At 35.4% G+C, this 18,309-nt stretch overlaps 1 protein-coding gene and 1 pseudogene across 16 annotated transcripts in view, besides 1 other annotated feature; one reads left to right on the top strand and one right to left on the bottom strand.

Moving 5' to 3' along the window:
- The window catches only part of CCSER2 (coiled-coil serine rich protein 2), a 189,929-nt gene that overhangs the window by 46,019 nt on the left and 125,601 nt on the right, over positions 1-18,309 (bottom strand). For 14 of the 16 annotated variants that reach the window (NM_001351290.2, XM_005269905.5, NM_001351292.2 and 11 more), the window contains 2 exons: positions 8,483-8,566; positions 2,041-2,127 (listed from right to left, as the gene is read on the bottom strand). The exons of 1 other annotated variant lie outside the window; for it this stretch is intronic. In NM_001351290.2, coding sequence (NP_001338219.1) covers positions 2,041-2,127; positions 8,483-8,566 — 171 coding nt within the window. Of the gene's footprint in view, positions 1-2,040; positions 2,128-8,482; positions 8,567-18,309 lie in introns of those variants that run through there. One more of the 16 variants, XM_047425366.1, reaches the window with a different exon arrangement.
- Positions 7,077-7,912: an enhancer, noted in NCBI's record as "OCT4-NANOG hESC enhancer chr10:86224343-86225178 (GRCh37/hg19 assembly coordinates)". NCBI's record gives its function as "activates a minimal SCP1, AML or CMV promoter by ChIP-STARR-seq in naive H9 embryonic stem cells {active_cell/tissue: H9 hESC(naive)}" and the evidence as "EXISTENCE:reporter gene assay evidence [ECO:0000049][PMID:30033119]".
- Positions 16,338-18,000, top strand: CACYBPP1 (calcyclin binding protein pseudogene 1; annotated as a pseudogene).

The raw sequence follows: 18,309 nt of genomic DNA, 5'->3' as shown, positions 1-18,309 counted from the left end.
CTGGGTTCAAGTGATTGTTCTGCCTCAGCATCCCAAGTAGCTGGGGACTACAGGCGTGAACCACCACAACCAGCTAAATTTTTTGTATTTTTAGTAGAGACAGGGTTTCACCATGTTGGCCAGGCTGGTCTCGAACTCCTGACCTCAAGCAATCCACCCACCTAGGCCTCCCAAAGTGCTCGGATTACAGGAGTGAGCTACCATGCCCAGCCTCCCCCAATCTTTTATGTTCAGCCTTATCGTGCCATTTTCCTTTAGCTAAATTTTTTTTATACAAAGCAAGTTACTGGATTTTGCTTTAGATCCTCAAGGAAAGTCTCTCCAAGACATAAGACTATTTGCAACTACTATTATATTTGTTATATTTGGTCTAATTTCTATTACTTTAGTTTTATGCTGTTTTTAAGTTTTCCTTATTTTTCTACTTCGTCTTTTTTTTAACTTTTAACTTTTGCAAGATACTTTATTCCAACCTACTAATTACTTTAAAGCATTTCATAAACATTATAATTTATCTAAGTATATTTTTTAAAATTAAGAATGTTGAATATTCATTTGTAGAAGATAAAAAATTCAGTACTTCTAACTTCCTTCAGCATATTCCTTATGTTCTTCCTCAAACTTATTTAATCTGAATATTTTCCAAAATTAATAGCAACTTAAAATTTTAAAATTAAAAATAATTTTTAATTTCAGAAAAATTAAGGATTTATAAATCCAAACAAATCCCAACATTAGAATGATATGTAATTTACATTAGGTAAAATGGGCAGTAAGTTTTCTCCAACTAGTGGCTCAGAAGTTTACACCACTTAGTTTCCATTTCACCGCTCATTCATTTTAATCTTTATCTCCTTATTCTTGAGTTATTTTTCAATTTACCTCTCAAATATCTGAAATGTATTAACTGGGTCTGTCAAGACATTAAAGGTCAGAATTTACCTTTGTATATAAATAAAAACTTGCTTGGATATAAAATAGGAGGTTCATAACCTCTTTTCTGAATTGCACAAGACACAATATCTTGTGCTCTGTAATATATTTTTGTAAAAATCGAAGCTTACATAATTTTCTTTGTTGTCTTTTTTCTTCTCCCTGAAAGTTGATTGGGTTCTTGTCTTTGGCTTTGAACACAAACACTAGGCCTTATTATTTTCCTTTTTAATTTTGTATGTGACAGGACCTCAATTTGTAATATTATGCTACTTTTTATTCAGTTTCATAAATTTTCTTTGTTCCTTTAATCATAATATTTGATTTATCTGCTCTATTTATTCATGAAATGGATCTCCGTGAGCTGACCCCAGTGGCTCAGAGCTCAGTATATGATATCCTTTATATTTTCAGTGAGATTAATATTTCACCAAATTGCTTTGTTAGACCAAAATGTGCTCTTGACTCACAACAAAGATTTCCTTTTGAGTGTTGTGATTTTTAGGCCATTATTTTCTTTTTATCATGGTCTTTTATATACAAACTAAGTAATAATTAAATTCAAGACACCATACATATTGTTTTCATATGAGACTAATATGTGAAATTGCACAATTATTAGATTATGAAGATTCAAACATGACTCTGATGGATCATTCAATAGCATCCATAGGAAATAAACATTTTCTTGGAGTACCCTTCAATCTGATAGTGATGCAGCTACCTAAATCTGAATACCCAGGCTAATTCTGCTCACAGAGAGAGAAAATACCCTGTTCTCAACTCACAAGTACTTGTTTCTTTAAATATATCTGAAGAAAAGCCATTTACCCTTGTATCAACAAAATGAATGTAAATTGGTAAATTTTAAATACCCAAAACTGAGGTCGCTGAATCAATGAAGAATTTTCCAAACCAAATACTTAATATTTAGATTAAAAGTTAAATCACATACTTTTATTACAGTGCATATAATCTAAAAATAATATAAAAGTGCAACTTTGAGAGCCAAAAATAAAGCTAAACTCTACTTCTGGCTCAGAGTTTTATGAAAAACACATTTCACCCAGTTTGAAAAGTCTCTATACATTATACTACAATACTTACAAGCTGAAGTTCTAATAGTTGGATCTTTTCATCTTTTTTCTTTATTTCGTCTTTAAGTTGTTTTATTTCATTTAATAAATCTTCATTCTGAAATATTAAAAAATCTTTAGATGAGGTATTTAAAATACCATAATGAGAGGCATGAAATCAATGATGAAGACACAGTAATGAACAAACTATCTGGTCATTTAGGGGGGAAATCCTCTATTAAAAAAAAATCTAAGATTTCATCCGGTAATGAAGTGTGACATGTTGACAATGAGCAATAGTAGCAGCAACAGTTAGCATTCATTGAGAACTTATTAGATGTTAAAAACTAAGCACTTGCACTTATTTAAGCATTTGATTCTACCCACACTCCTGAGGTAGGTACTGTAATCCTTTTTTACATATAAGAAAACTGGGACATAGGCCACAGAGTAAAAAAAAAAAAAAAAAAAAAAAATCACATACAAAAAAGCAACTTCAGCTAGACTTCAAGGGATACATAAGAGTAGCCTGTGAAAGAAAACAAAGGGCATGAGAAGCAGAGGCAATAGAATAATTAAAGGCACAGAGGCATTTCATGGCTGGTTTACAAATCAGCAAAAAAGATAAATGTGCCTGAAGGGTAACAAGGAAGATTCTTTGACCATGAGCCACTTTTTGAGGAGTACCTCCTGAATCAAAGAGAGAACACCTTCTCAATTGGATCTATAAGAAATGCCTAGTACTATTAAATGGAAACCTACTGTCAAGTTAAGCAGGAATCCAGTTACATTTCCAAAGTGTTAATCATTACCCTATAGTTAGCCCATGTTGTTTGTGTTTCATTATTCAGTTATCCAAAAGAGAAGGTAATATAAGCAAGGAAATTCAAATATAGATGTGAATAACATCTTTCCAGAGAGAAAAACAAGTAAGCAAATAATTAGGATGTGTTGTAACTAAGCAAAGAATGTCATCCCCTTTAGCTACATCGGGAACAAAAACATATATTCTCTTTAACAAAGAGATCAGAAATAGACATTTTACAAAGCCTTGAACATATCACATAAGCATCCCAAACAATGTGGAAGATTTTTAAAATGCTATTATGTACACTATAATTGAAAAAGACTTTATTACATACAAAAGATAATCTCCACTTGTTTTTAAGTTTAGGAATTATAAAAATTCATAAAGACAAAAAAGATGGATTGCAGATCATGAAAGATACATTTCTAAGAATACATTTAGAAGGACACATTTCTAAGTTATGTAGCAAATATAGCTATTCAAAAGAAATGATTTATATTTAATTATATAACATTTTAAGGCACCTTAACAATTAACATTAGTTAAAAGCTATTGATAATCCATGCAAATATGACAGAGGATTTATATCTCAAGTATATTAACAGCCTGTCTAAACATTTAAGATCATTTTTAAGGCCTCAACAGACAAGTAGCCAGTTCTCACAAATATACATATAACTGGTAAAATGTTGTATTTAACTTGTTGAATAAAGTATTGTTTTATAAATATTAAGTTAGTGGTGAAATACCCAATGTAATTAACCAGACTGCAGGAAAAAATGGCACACCATCAGACATAGCAGTTAACCTTTTTGGACAAATATACATCTGTATGTTTAAGAGCCATCAAAATACCTGCACTCTGATTCAGTTATCCTACTCCTAGGAATCTATATGAAAGAAATGATCCTTAGAAAGAGAAAACCTATAACAAGGTGTTATCTGAAAGTTAACAAGTTTACAATTGTCCTGTAAGAGGACAACGGGAATAAAATGTAGCAACTTCATGGAACACTATATAGCCATCATTCATGCAGTCACCAGTAGGTTCGGACTGTGTTACACAGGAAATGGACCCAAAAATGAAATCAACAAATAATGTGCTAAGAACATTAATAGCCAGCATGTATATAGCACTTGCTGTATGGCAGGCACTGCTCTAAGGATTTTTTTCCCCCACCAAAACCATTTCATTGTTTTAATTTTACTTTTAATTGACAGATAACATTGTACATATTCATGGTTTACACAGTAATGTTTTGACACATATAATTTATAGTGATTAGATCAGGGCAATTAGCATTTCCATCATCTCAAACATTTATCATCTCTTTGCATTGGGAACACTGATTTTATATATAAAGATAGGCAAAGAAGTGACATCACACATCAGAAATGAGGGACTACAGTGGAGTTCCAAAGGATAAGCACAAGATTCAGAAGATAGAGGAGTGTGGTAGGCTTGGAATTTTAGTTAAAGGATTCTAAGTGCCATACAATATAATACAAAGGTGAGGGAAAGCATAGCACGTCTGGAGAAGTATAAGCAGTGTCGCTGTTGCACATAGGTTCTGATTAATGTTGAGAAGCAATTGGCTAGTAAACTATGCAAGGGCCAGATCACAGAGAGCCATGACTATCACGCATGGCCTTAGCTAGGGAGTGACAGATTTGCATTTGAGATGGCTTTGACAGGTGTTTAGAGGACAAATTTTAACAACAGCAAGAAAACTGAGCTAGGCACTTATGAAAATATTATAATAATCTAGATAAGAGTAGGAGCCTGACCCAAGAGAGTGATAATATAGATGAAAAGGGAGAGAAGAAATCAAAATTTTGAGATTTTTGGCAATTCACTGCATGTGAGAAAAGAACAGAGGAGCATTCAAGGGTGACACTGTATTTCTAGCTTGAGTGACATGGTGAATAGCTGCGCCAACAAAAGAAATGGTGAATACAGAAGAACAACAAGTATGTCCAAAGAGGAATATGTGTGAATTTTAAATATATTGTTACACAGGTGGGTGGGCAGTAGGGGGGAGGTGGGGACATGATGGAGCCAGAAGAGATCTTGAGGTTTCTTCAGTTCAGTATGTCAAAGTACTGTATGTTGGGGTATTGGTTTCTGAGCTCAACAGTTATCAGTTTTTTCATTAAATAAATAAAATGTTTAAGACATCTCACATACAAATACACACACACACACACATACACACACATATGTGGGGGGTGAGAGAGAGAGAGTCTGTGTTAGAAGTACTTATGGGTGGGACATACAATAGAAGTGTGTCCAGTGGGCAACTGGATTACCAAGCATGAAAGAAAGGAGTTTTACATGTTAGCCATATATGTCATATTTGAAATTATGAGAGTAAGATGTTCAAAGAGGACTGGACTAAAGATATAAATCTAACATTTAAAGAAGAGGAGAAACCTACAGGAAAAAATGTTGAAAGGTATGAGGGATTCCAGAGAGAAGTGACACAAAAGCCAAAGGAGAAAGCTTTTAAAACAAAGGTCATGTCAAACGTCTACAGCATTGAAATGGTAGCTATTTTCATTGTTCCAAGTTTTCACACTAACTGGAAAGGAGTTTAAAAGGAGTCAAGAAAAAGTGTATTTGATTTACTGAAATTAAATGAGATATACACATTTACAAACAAATAATGACAAGAAAGTAGAGGAGGCGCACTCAAGACAGATGAGAGAGGAGGAAGAGATGCAGTTAGGTCCTTAAGCAACAGCAGAAGACAAGAGTTAAGAACACAGAAGAGCTGATCTTCCATAGCACAGTGGACACTTTTCCCCTGTAACTGGAACAAAGGAGTAAGAATGAGACAAATATAGATAAATTAGAAGGCAAGAAGGAGGCCGGGCGCGGTGGCTTACGCCTGTAATCCCAGCACTTTGGGAGGCCGAGGCGGACGGATCACGAGGTCAGGAGATCAAGAAAATCCTGGCTAACACGGTGAAACCCCGTCCCTACTAAAAATACAAAAAAAAAAAAAAATTAGCCAGGCGTGGCGGCGGGCGCCTGTAGTCCCAGCCACTCGGGAGGCTGAGGCAGGAGAATGGCATGAACCCAGGAAGTGGAGCTTGCAGCGAGCCGAGATTGTGCCACTGCACTCCAGCCTGGGCAACAGAGCGAGACTTTGTCTCAAAAAAAAAAAAAACCAAAAAAACAAAAAAAAGAAAGCAAGAAGGCAGGAAGCATAAGATATTTACTGGATGAACAAACATAAGGCTACCTGCAGAGGTTGAGAAGTATAGCTAAGCATGGAACTTGGAGAGAGCTATTTGGAAGAGATCATTAAGGGAATGGGAGAGGGATCTGTCCTGAGATTAAATAAAAGGATAGATTAGAGGCATGGTAGGTCCAATGGAGACTTTAGATCCTACAATTTTAATGGCACGAGATGCAGTATTTGTGTCATTTGAAACTGCACTGCTAAACCATTTTGGATGAAAGGTGACACAGTTGGGGATTTGCTGATTAAAATGCAAAAGAGACCAGAATACTGAAGAAAAGACAAGTATGACCTATTGCAACTCAGCTTAAATAAGAAAGACTAGGAATAATCTGCCTGGAAGGAAATGGAGCAGGGACAAGAAATAAATACTGTGTAACAAAATGTCTATCATATGGCCGGGCACAGTGGCTCACGCCTGTAATCCTAGCACTTTGGGACGCCGAAGCGGGCGGATCACAAGGTCAGGAGATTGAGACCACGGTGAAACCCCGTCTCTACTAAAAATACAAAAAATTAGCTGGGCGCGGTGGTGGGCACCTGTAGTCCCAGCTACTCGGGAGGCTGAGGCAGAAGAATGGCGTGAACCCAGGAGGCTGAGCTTGCAGTGAGCCAAGATCATGCCACTGCACTCCAGCCTAGGCAACAGAGCAAGACTCCATCTCAAAAAAGAAAAAAAAAGCAAAAAATGTCTATCATATAGCATTAAATATTTAGATGAACTAGAAAGGAACACTGGAAAAGAGTAAAGATACCAATTGTGTAAAAATGTTGGAATTAATTTTTTTTCTTTAAAACATAATTTCTTGTCCGGGTGCGATGGCTCATGCCTGCAATCCCAACACTTTGGGAGGCCGAGGTGGGTGGATTACCTGAGGTCAGGAGTTCGAGACCAGCCTGGACAACATGGTGAAACCCCATCTCTACTAAAAATATAAAAAATTAGCCGAGCATGGTGGCAGATGCCTGTAATTCCAGCTACTTGGGAAATCAAGGCAGCAGAATCGCTTGAACCCAGGAGGCCGAGGCTGCAGTGAGCCGAGATTGCGCCACTACATTCCAGCCTGGGTGACAGAGCAAGGCTCCGTCTAAAAAAAAAAAAAAAAAAAAAAAAAAAAATCTTTACATGTAAAAAACTTTTTCACACACACACACACACACACACACACACACACACACACACACACACACACAAATTCAGGAAAGAGGTCAACTTTGCTTTTAAAATGTCAGTCACAAATTCACAATTTTTTTTTTTCTAAACTGGGAGGTCATCAGAGATTACCTAAGTCAATGGTTCTCAACTGAGTGTTAAGAGATGGCCTGCTGTGAACCTGCTGACTTAATGTATTATACTGAGAGTAGGATGAAAGCTCAGGGTTGGGAAGCAATCTGGGCAAGGACAGGTAGTCAACAAGTTGAAAAGCCAAGATGAGAGAATGAGATTGACTACTGTACTATACTCTTATGATTTTGATTGCTTTATATACAATCTTCTTCCCAATAAATCACTCTGCAACCTACGAGCAAATAATGCTTTTCTGCCCTATTAATTCCAGGCCTGGCCCCTTGAATTGTTTTGAAAGTGATATGTGCCACATCCAAGCAGAATTCACATGTGATCCTATCAAAGTTCTCTTCCCACTGGCACAATAACATGTCCCACAATAGGGGCTGATCCGTCTCAGTATGGATCCCAGAATGAGGAAGACACATGAAGCAGAGTCCCAGCTGATCTACAGCCAATATGTAAGTGAAATATAAATTTCATTATTATAAGCCACCATTGCTTTCAGGTTGTTACTGTAGATGACTAGCAAACACTAATAAGTGTACCCTGAAAATGGGATGTAAAAGCTAACTATAACTTGACTTGGAAACATTAAATTAACCAAGAATCTCTGTGTGTGCTTAAGAAATAAATATGTGCTTAAATAGTTGCAAAATAAAAGAGTTTTCTTCAACTAAAAATAGACATAAATAAGAATTATAAAAAAACACTTTCACTCACAAAAATACATCTGTATTCTGTATTTTTAAACATGAAAAAAGAAATTAATCTCATTTTCAGTATACTTCTTCAATTTTGGGATTTATATATGAGAAGCACCTATAACCATTTTAACTTTCATTCCTACTCATATTTTAAAAACTCTTATCATTTATCATTATGAGCAATATATTTTCTTTTTAAATCCTGCAACAGTAGTAATACAAGGACAGATCATTATCCAACTGATAAATTCAAATTAAAGCACCACAGAGATATCATTTCAACTTAACAAAGTAGCAAAAGTTAAGAACAAACCTGATGCTTTAGGTATTAATACATTTATTATTGTTTTCATTGTCATTGTATCATTATTTTAGTATTTAAAAAGAATTTTGAAAAATCCAGCATGACTACATAGTCATACCTTATATACTTTATCACCATCTTCTGGTTCTGGACTGGATGGCAATGACAGTTGAATATCATGCAATGAACCACTTCCATCATGCTGTCAGAAAGAAGGGAAGAAAAACACTAGATTAATATAGTAATTGTGGACATTCAGTTCAACCTGAATTTACCCAGACCAAATGCTAGCATGGTGAAGACCAAATGCTAGCATGGTGAAGAACAAATGGGAGACAAAATTTTAGAAATCTTCATTTCCCCTATATATACTGTTAGAAGGAAATGTGGAAGAAGAAAAAAGGGAGCTACGGCAAGAATAATCTGTGGAAGTAAATAACGGATACTATATAAGCGGCTGAAATACAGAACCATTAAGCATTATGAGAAATTTCCTAAAGAATTTTAAGACTGTTTCACCTAGGAAAAGTGTAAAACAAAGGTCAACTGAATCTGCTTTGGTTTAGACATGTTTTGAGTACCAAGGAGCCATAAACAATAATATTAAGTAACCCAGTAAGGCTTAGCAGCAAAAATAACTGAATTAAAAATACTAGCTACATGAGGATATATATCACATAACTCCATTTATATGAAGTCTGAGAAAAGGCAAAACTAATCTATGGTGTTAGAAATCAGAAGAATGATGGTAGACTAAAGGGAAGGGGGTTACTGACTAAGAAGGAACATTAGGGAACCTAGTAGGAAGCTGGAAATGTTCTATGTCCTGAGTGTACGGTAGTTAAACATACATATGAAAAGCTTGAGCTGTACACTTAAGATTGGTACACCTTAACCACTTTACTGGATGTATCTCATGCCTCAAAAAAGGCTGAAATAAAGATTTTTGTTCCAAAACATTATAAATAAAATAGGATGACAATACTAAGTTCCACCCTTTGCTGAACTGGTTTAGTACTAAGAAACCACATGCTCAATGGTTCAGAAAGACAGCCTCAAGAAAAATGAACCAGTGAAGAATATAACTGGATGACGTGCTACCTTGATCAGGACTGAGCCCCTGACTAAGGCAGCACAACTGAGGTTCAACACCTTATTTGTTCATGATTCCTGGCTGCCTCAGTAAACCCAGTGACTGAACCAGCAACCTTCAAGGAACATAACATTGCAATCTTCCTCAGATATATCTTTTCTGGTTCTCCCATACCATGGATAATGTCTACAATAGGGGAGGTGAGCATGCAGGTTATTTTCTTCTTAATTTATTGTACTGTATACCCACTGACACAGAATCTCTAGGGATGGGGCCCAGAATTTCTAAATGTGTATTTAGGGCAGTTCAAAAGGTAATGCTGATTGACAGTCAAGAGAGTAAGTGTTTGCCAAATTTCCAGCATAGATAAATTACTTTTCTATGGTGGTGTCAAATGGACATTAAGACTTTGATCTAAGAACATAGGCAACATTCTAATGAATAGCAATATTCTCGGAACACATTTTTAAAAATTAAGAAATAAAGAAAGTAAAGTGAGTTTTACAGGACTCATCTCAGTAAAAAGTTCATCTCCGTTATTACTGCCTAGACATATAAAAGCATCGCCAGTCCTACCTACAAGTATATTTGAGAAGAGAGACAGACTGTAAAATTTGAATTATTTCCAAATATCTAAATGTCTTCTTCCCAACTGCAATGCAGGAACCCCAAGGAATATGAGACAACACAAGCACATACTGCTTTGCATTAAATGCAGGTGCACTTGTGGGAAGTGTACAGCAGAATAGAAAAAATAAAACAACAGCATTAAGGATAGAGGAAAAAAGAGAAGTCCAGCAAAACAGAAAATACCAGAGGTCACAAAATACCAGGAACTGAGTAAAGTAGCTCCATAAAGCTGTTGTAAATTCATCGGTTCATCCCTGAGCAGCACTTGCTTGGATCTGATCCTAAACAGCATAGCAAAGACTTTGAAAAATAACCTAAGATCACTTCCCAGGTCCCAGACTAGCCTCTGGAAGATGTATACTCAGAACAGATCTGGAAAGCATGGCAAAAGCTTTGAAAACAGAGCTGGCATTAAAACCACAATCAAGACAGCTAGCTGTACCTTGTAGCCTAAACTCAACCACATTGTTTGCCTGTTTAAAAACAAAATAAAATAAAGATTTAAAGAAGATCAGGAATCTCATTATACAACGTTCAAATATCTAATATATAATCCAAAATTACTCAACATCTAAACAGAGGAGAAAATGTCAACTCACAAAGGAAAAGACAATCAAAAAACACCAACACCAAAATGACACAGAAGGTAGAACTGGAAGAGATTTTAACAGAGCTGTTATTAAAATTCTCCAAAAGAATAAACTCTTGAAGGGACTACAAAGAGAAAATCTCAGGGGGAAAAAAAAAAAACAGAATATAAAAAGTAGAAACAAATGGAGATTTTAGACCTGAAAAGAGTCAAAAACCAAAATTTTAAAATGCACTATTGATGGGCTAAATACTAGCATTTCAGATTATACAATAAACTTAAAGAGTGATCAACAAAAATTATCCAATCTGAATGATGAAGAGCAACAAGATTGGTCAAAAAAAATTGACAGAGCCTGCTCAGGAACATATGCGGACAGTAATAAAAGAGCTAACACTCCTGTCATTGAAGTCACAGAAGGATAGGGGTGGGCAGAAAAAATATTTCAAGAAATAATGGATAAACACACCCCGAATTTGGTGAAAGACACAAACCTACAGATTTGAGAAACCAAATTTAAAAGAACTAAAAATACACCAAACATATGCTCTCTGAATATAAGAGAATTTAACTAGAAACTAATAACAGAAAGATAATCTCCATACACTTGAAAAGTAGACAACCTTCTAAATCATCCTTGGGTCAAAGAAGAAGTCTCAAGAAAAACAAGAAAATATTGTGAATTGAAGGAAAATAACAGACACCACATACCAAAATTTGTGGAATGCAACTAAAGCAGAGTGATAAGGGAAAATTATAGAATGAAATACTTTTATTAAAACAAAGGTGTCAAATCAATAACTGGAGCAAAATAAATGTACAACAAGCAGAAAGAAGAAAATAATCAAGAGCAGAAATTAATGAAACTGAAAATTAAAAAACACAAACAAATCAATGAAACTAAAAACACTTTCTTTGAAAATTGCTAGACATCTAGCAAAACTGCCAAAATGCAAAAAAGAAAGCACAAATCAAAACATTATCAGGAATGAAAGCAGAAATATCATTACAGACATCTCAAATGCTAAGAGTAAATAAAGCAATAATAATATGAATGACTCTACACACACAAATTTGACAACTTATGTGAAGTGGCAAAATTCCTCAAAAGCAACAAACTCTTGAAACTCACCTAAGATGAAATAGATAAGCTGTGTAAACATATGACTACTAATAAAAATGAATTCATGGTTTAAAGCCTCTCACTAAAAAAAAAAAAATCTGAGGCCAGATGTTTTACTGGCAAATTGTTCCAAAATTTAAGAGAATAACATCAATTCTATACAACCACTTAGAGAAAAATCAAATTAAATTAATAAAATCAATTAATGAGGCCATTAATTGCACTTCCCTGATACTAAAACAAAGACAGTATAAGAAGACTACAGATCAATATTCTTCATGTATAAGGATGCAGAAGTCTTTTAAAAAATCTCACACATGTAATCCCAGCACTTTGGGAGGCCAAGACGGGGGGGATCACCTGAGGTCAGGAGTTTGAGATGAGCCTGGCCAACATGGCGAAACCCCATTTCTACTAAAAATATGAAAAAAAAAAAAAAAAAATCAGCCGGGCATGGTGGCGCATGCCCATAGTCCCAGCTACTCAGGAGGCCAAGGCAGGAGAATTGCTTGAACCTGGGAGGCAGAGGTTGCAGTGAACCAAGACTGCACCCCCGCACTCCAGCCTGGGCAACAGAGTGAGACTCTGTCTCAAAAAAAAAAAAAAAAAAAATCGAAGAATCAAAACCAACAATATGTAAAAAGGGAAATACACCATGAGCAACTGAGGTTGATCCCACCAATGCAAAGCTGGTTCAATAGTCAGAAAGCAATGTAATTCACCAAATTGAGAAATAAAAGGTCTGCACAATTATCTCAATAGACTACACAGATAAATTTCCTGGCAAAATTCAATATCCAATCAGGATTTAAAAAAAACTCAGAAAGCTAGGAATAAAAGAACTTGCTCAACCTGATAAAGTTCATCCAAAAAACCCACCAGGCATGGTGGCTCATGCCTGTAACCCCAGTACTTTGGGTGGCCAAGAGGGGCAGGTCGCTTGAGCCCAAGAGTTCAAGACCATTCTGGGCAGCATGCTAAAACTCTGTCTCTACCAAAACTATAAAAAATTAGCCAGGTGTGGTGGGATGCACCTGTAGTCCCAGCTAATTGGGAGAATGAGGTGGGAGAATCACCTGAGCCTGGGAAGTCAAGGCTGTGGTCAGTCATGACTGTGCCACTGCACTCCAGCCTGGGTAACAGAAGGAGATCCTGTCTCTGATTCCCCCCCAAAACCAAACCAAAACAAAACAAAACATCCTACCAGTAACATCATATTTAATGGTGAAACATGGAATATTCTACCCCAAGACCAGGAACAAGGCACTCCTATTCAATATCATAGTGGAGTTTCTATCCAGTGCAATAAGGCAAGAAAAAGAAATAAAAGGCGAACGAATAGGAAAGAAAAAAATAAAATAACCTCATTTAGACACAGAATGTATGGTGTAGAAAGTCCCTTAAGTATCTATAATAAAAGTACTAGAAATTTGGGAGGCTGAGGCAGGCAGACCACATGAGGTCAGGAATTCAAGAACACCCTGGCCATCATGGCAAAACTCCATCTCTACTAAAAATACAAAAATTAACCAAGCGTGGTGGCACATGCCTGTAATTCCAGCTACTCAGGAGGCTGACGCAGGAGAATCGCTTGAATCCAGGAAGCAGGGGTTGCAGTGAGCTGAGATCGTGCCACTGCATTCCAGTCTGGGCAACACAGCGAGAACGTCTCAAAGACAAAAACAAAAACTACTAGAACTAGTACATGAATTTAGCAAAATCACAGGATACAAGGTCAATATACAAAAATCAACTGTGTATGGCAAACAACTGAAAATTGAATTTAAAAAAAACTACCATTTATGATAAAGCAAAATCCAAAAGACAAGGGAAAAAAATCCAAAATAACAAAAGAGAAATACTTAGGTACAAATCCAACAAAACACAGACTCTGTATATTAAATATATAGGTTGATTTCTTTCACATATATGTATATACATATATGTGTATGTATATATGTGTATATGTGAAGGAATATATGTGTGTGTATATGTGAAAGAAATCAGAGAGAACTAAATAAATGGAGATATCCTCTGTTCATGAATGGAAAGATTAAATATTGTTGAGATATCAATTCTCTTCCAAACTCAACTGGAGATTCAGTATTCTCCCTATCAAAATCCCAGCAGAATTTATTTTTTGTAGAAATAGAAACGCTGCTTCTAAAATTTACATGAAAAGGCAAAAGAACTAAAATAGTCAAACAATTCTGAAAAGAGAAAGTTGGAAGAGTCACACTACTTAAAGACTTACTATAAAGCTCCAGTAATCAAGAGAAAGTGATAATAGCAAAAAGATAAACATACATCAATGGAAAGAAAAGAGTCCAGAAACAGACCCACACATTTATGGTCAAAGGCATTTCTGACAAAATTACAAAGGCAAAACACTACAGAAACAATATTCTTTCCAACCAATGGTGCTAGAACAACTGAACATACACGTGATAAAAATAATCTTGGCCCATAACTCATACCACATACAAAAACTCTTCAAACAGATTATACACCTAAGTTTCAAACTTAAAACTATAAAACTTATCCACTTAAACATAGAAAATCTTTGCAATCTTGGGTTGAGCAAAGATTTCTTAGACCAAAACATGATCTATGGAAAAAATGGTGGCAAAAAAATGATAAATTTTACTTCAAGAGCAGAACTTTTGCTCTCACACCTGTAATCCCAGCCTTTTGGGAGGCCGAAGCAGGCGGATCACCTGAGGTCAGGAGTTCTGAGACCAGCCTGGCCAACATGGTAAAACCCCATCTCTACGGAAAAAAATACAAAAAATTAGCTGGGCGTGGTGGCATTCGCCTGTAATCCCAGCTACTCCAGAGGCTGAGACAGGAGAATCACTTGAACCAGGGAAGTGGAAGTTGCAGTGAGCCTAGATCACACCACTGCACTCTAGCCTGGGCAACAGAGCAAGACTCTGTCTCCAAAAACAAAAACAAAAACAAACAAACAAAATTTTATATATTTATATATAATATAATTATATATAAATATATATAATTTATATAATAACTAAAATTAAAAATAATATAATTATATATAATTATATATAATATATAAATATATAATTATATATAATATATAAATATATAATTATATATAATATATAAATATAAATTTATATATAATAATATACATTATATATAATTATACATATATTATATATAAATATATATGATTGCAGATACTTTCTTCCAGTCCATGTCTTTTATATATATATTATATATTTTATAATATGTATTTATATATAAATATAATTTTAAATATATTTTTTAAAATATATATTTAAATAAATATATATTTAAAATATATATTTAAAATAAATATATATATTATATATAATATATAATATATTATATATAATATATTATATATAACATATTATATATAATATATAATATATAATATATTATATATAATATATTTTATATAATATATAATATATAATATATTTATATATAATATGTAATATATATATAAAAGAAGACATGGACTGGAAGAAAATATCTGCAATCATTCAAGTAAATACCGAGCATAATGCGTAACTCATAGAAAGCCTTTTTAAAGTGTCAGCTAATTTTAAAACAATAGTAAGAAAATAATGAGAATGTGAAGGTGCAGGGTTATTACCTCACAATTGTACATAGTTGCCCAAAAAGCTAGTCCCATTTTTAAAAATATCCATTTGTTTCATCACTTACATACCTAATAAAGGAGCTATATCTAAAATATATAAAGAACTCTCAAAAATCAGTAAGAAAAGACATTTGTGTTAATAGGCAAAAAAGACACTTCACCAAAAAAGACATATAAATGGCAAACAGTCATATGAAAATATGCTCAATATCATTAATCTTTACACAAATGCAAATTAAATCAACAATGAGATACCACTAAACACCTATTCAGTGGCTTTTATAATACACTGATAATACCAAGTGCCAGCAAGAATGCAGAACAATAGTTACATTCTTACATTGCTAGTGGCAATACAAAATGATATAGTCACCAAGGAAAACAGTTTGGTAGTTTCTTAAAAAGTTAAGTTTACACTTACCATACAACCCAGCAATCCTACTCCCAAGTATTTACCCGAGAGAAATAAAAACACATGCTCACATGAAAATCTGTAAACAAATGTTCACAGCAGTTTTATTTGTAACTGCAAAAAAAGTAGAAAGCAACATAAATACCCTTCAGCTGGTAAATGAATAAGCAAACTGGTAGCATTAAAATAGAACACTAACTCTGCAATATACAGAAACGAATTCCTAATACACGGTACAGCATAAATGAATATTTCAAGTTGCATTATGTTAAGTAAAAAAAGCCAGACTCAAAGGCTATATATTATACTCAAAAGGCTATATCATATCCATTTATATGATAATCTTTTCATATCAGTGGTTGCCAGGAGCTAGCAGTGGGTGTAGAAATTGACTTTAAAAGAAAAGGAATTCTGGGAGGGGATTGTAATAGCTGCACAATTGTCAATTAAAGCTCATAAAACTGTACACTGAATTCATGCAGGTGGGGGTCTGTGTTTGATTTGAGGGCTCTGCATGGCGTTTCCTGTTCTCTCCCCTGTGTGGCTGCAGCTCGGGTCTTTGGCCTGACCCAGCCCGATCTAGGCTTTGGAAGAGCTACAGAAACATCTAGAAGAAGCAAAGGTGTTGCTGGAGAAGGCTACTAGGAAAGGAGTACGTGATGCCCTTACAGGTGAAAAAATCCAAAATTGAGACAGAAATCCAGAACAAGATGCAACAGAAATCATAGAAGAAAGCAGAACTTCTTGATAATGAAAAGCCAGATGCTGTGGTTGCTCCCGTTACAATGGGATATACAGTGAAAACCAGTAATTATGGATGGGATCAGTCAGATAAGTCTGTGAAAATCTACATTACCTTAACTGGAGTTCATCAAGTTCCCTCTGAGAATGTGCAGGTGCATTTTACAGAGAGGTCATTTGATCTTTTGGTAAAGAATCTAAGTGGGAGGAGTTACTCCATGACTGTGAACAATCTCCTGAAACTCATTTCTGTGGAAGGCAGTTCAAAAAAGGTCAAGACTGATACAGTTCTTATTTTATGCAGAAAGAAAGTGGAAAAGGCTGGGCGCAGTAGCTCACGCCTGTAATCCCAGCACTTTGGGAGGCTGAGGCAGGCAGATCACCTGAGGTCAGGAGTTTGAGACCAGCCTGGCCAACATGGCAAAAGCTCGTCTCTACTAAAAGTACAAAAATTAGCCACATATGGTGGCAGGCACCTATAATCCCAGCTACTAGGGAGGCTGAGGCAGGAGAATCACTTGAACCCTGGAGGTGGAAGTTGCAGTGAGCCGAGATTGCGCCACTGCACCCCAATCTGGGCGACAAAGACTCTTTCTCAAAAAAAAAAAAAAGAAAAAGAAAAAGAAAAAGAAAAAAAGAAAGAAAGTGGAAAACACAAGGTGGGAGGGATTACCTGGCTCAGGTTGAAAAAGACTGCTGTTCTTACACTGCTAATAAAGACACCTGAGACTGGGTAATTTATAAAGAAAAAGAGGTTTAATGGACTCACATCTGCATGTGGCTGGGAAGCCTCATAATCATGGCCGAAGGAGAAGCATAGGCATGTCTTACATGGTGGCAGTCAAGAGAGCATGTGCAGGGGAACTGCCCCTCATAAAACCATCAGATCTCATGAGACTTATTCACTATCATGAGAACAGCATGGGAAAAACCCTTTCCCCCATGATTCAATTACCTCTCACCAGGTCCATCCCACAACACGTAGGGATTATGGGAGCTACAATTCAAGAAGAGATTTGGGTTGGGACATAGCCAAACCAAATCAAGTGCAAAGAAAAAGAGAAACCCTCCTATGATACTGAAACAGATGCTAGTGAGGGATTGATGAATATTCTAAAGAAAATATATGAAGAAGGAGATAATGATATGAACCAAACCATTAATAGAGCCTGGGTGTAATCAAGAGAGAAGCACATCAAAGGAGACAGAATTTTGAGACTTAGAAGTCCTTTTGGGAAGTGTATTGTGGAAATACAGATGTTGCCAATAAGGAAATACTGGTGAGCTGCATATATAAATTTGACATCTATTTAACAGCCTTCTTCTAAGTAAAAGCAATGAATTCTTCATTTCCTATGAGAGGATTTATTTAAATAAAATATGCTTATTAAACACTTAAAAAAAACTGCACACCAAAAGGCTGAATTTTACTGTGTATATTGCATCTCAATAGAACTGCACTAGCTTGAATGATGTACCCCCTAGAAATTCATGTCCATCCAGAACCTGTGAATATGACATTACTTGAAAATAGGCCTTTACGATGTAATCAAGTTGAGTTCACACGGGATTAGGGTGGGTCATAAATCCAATATAGCGGATATCCTTATAAGAAGGGAGAAATTTGGACCCACAGACACACAAGGGAGAAGGTCATGTGAAGATGGAAGTAGAGACTGGAGAGATGCATCTACAAATCAAGGAA

This window comes from Homo sapiens, chromosome 10, assembly GCF_000001405.40.
Source record: "Homo sapiens chromosome 10, GRCh38.p14 Primary Assembly".
In the NCBI taxonomy this organism is placed as follows: domain Eukaryota; kingdom Metazoa; phylum Chordata; class Mammalia; order Primates; family Hominidae; genus Homo; species Homo sapiens.
Note: the sequence above shows the minus strand (reverse complement) of the source record. Positions and strands in the feature narration are given on the sequence as shown.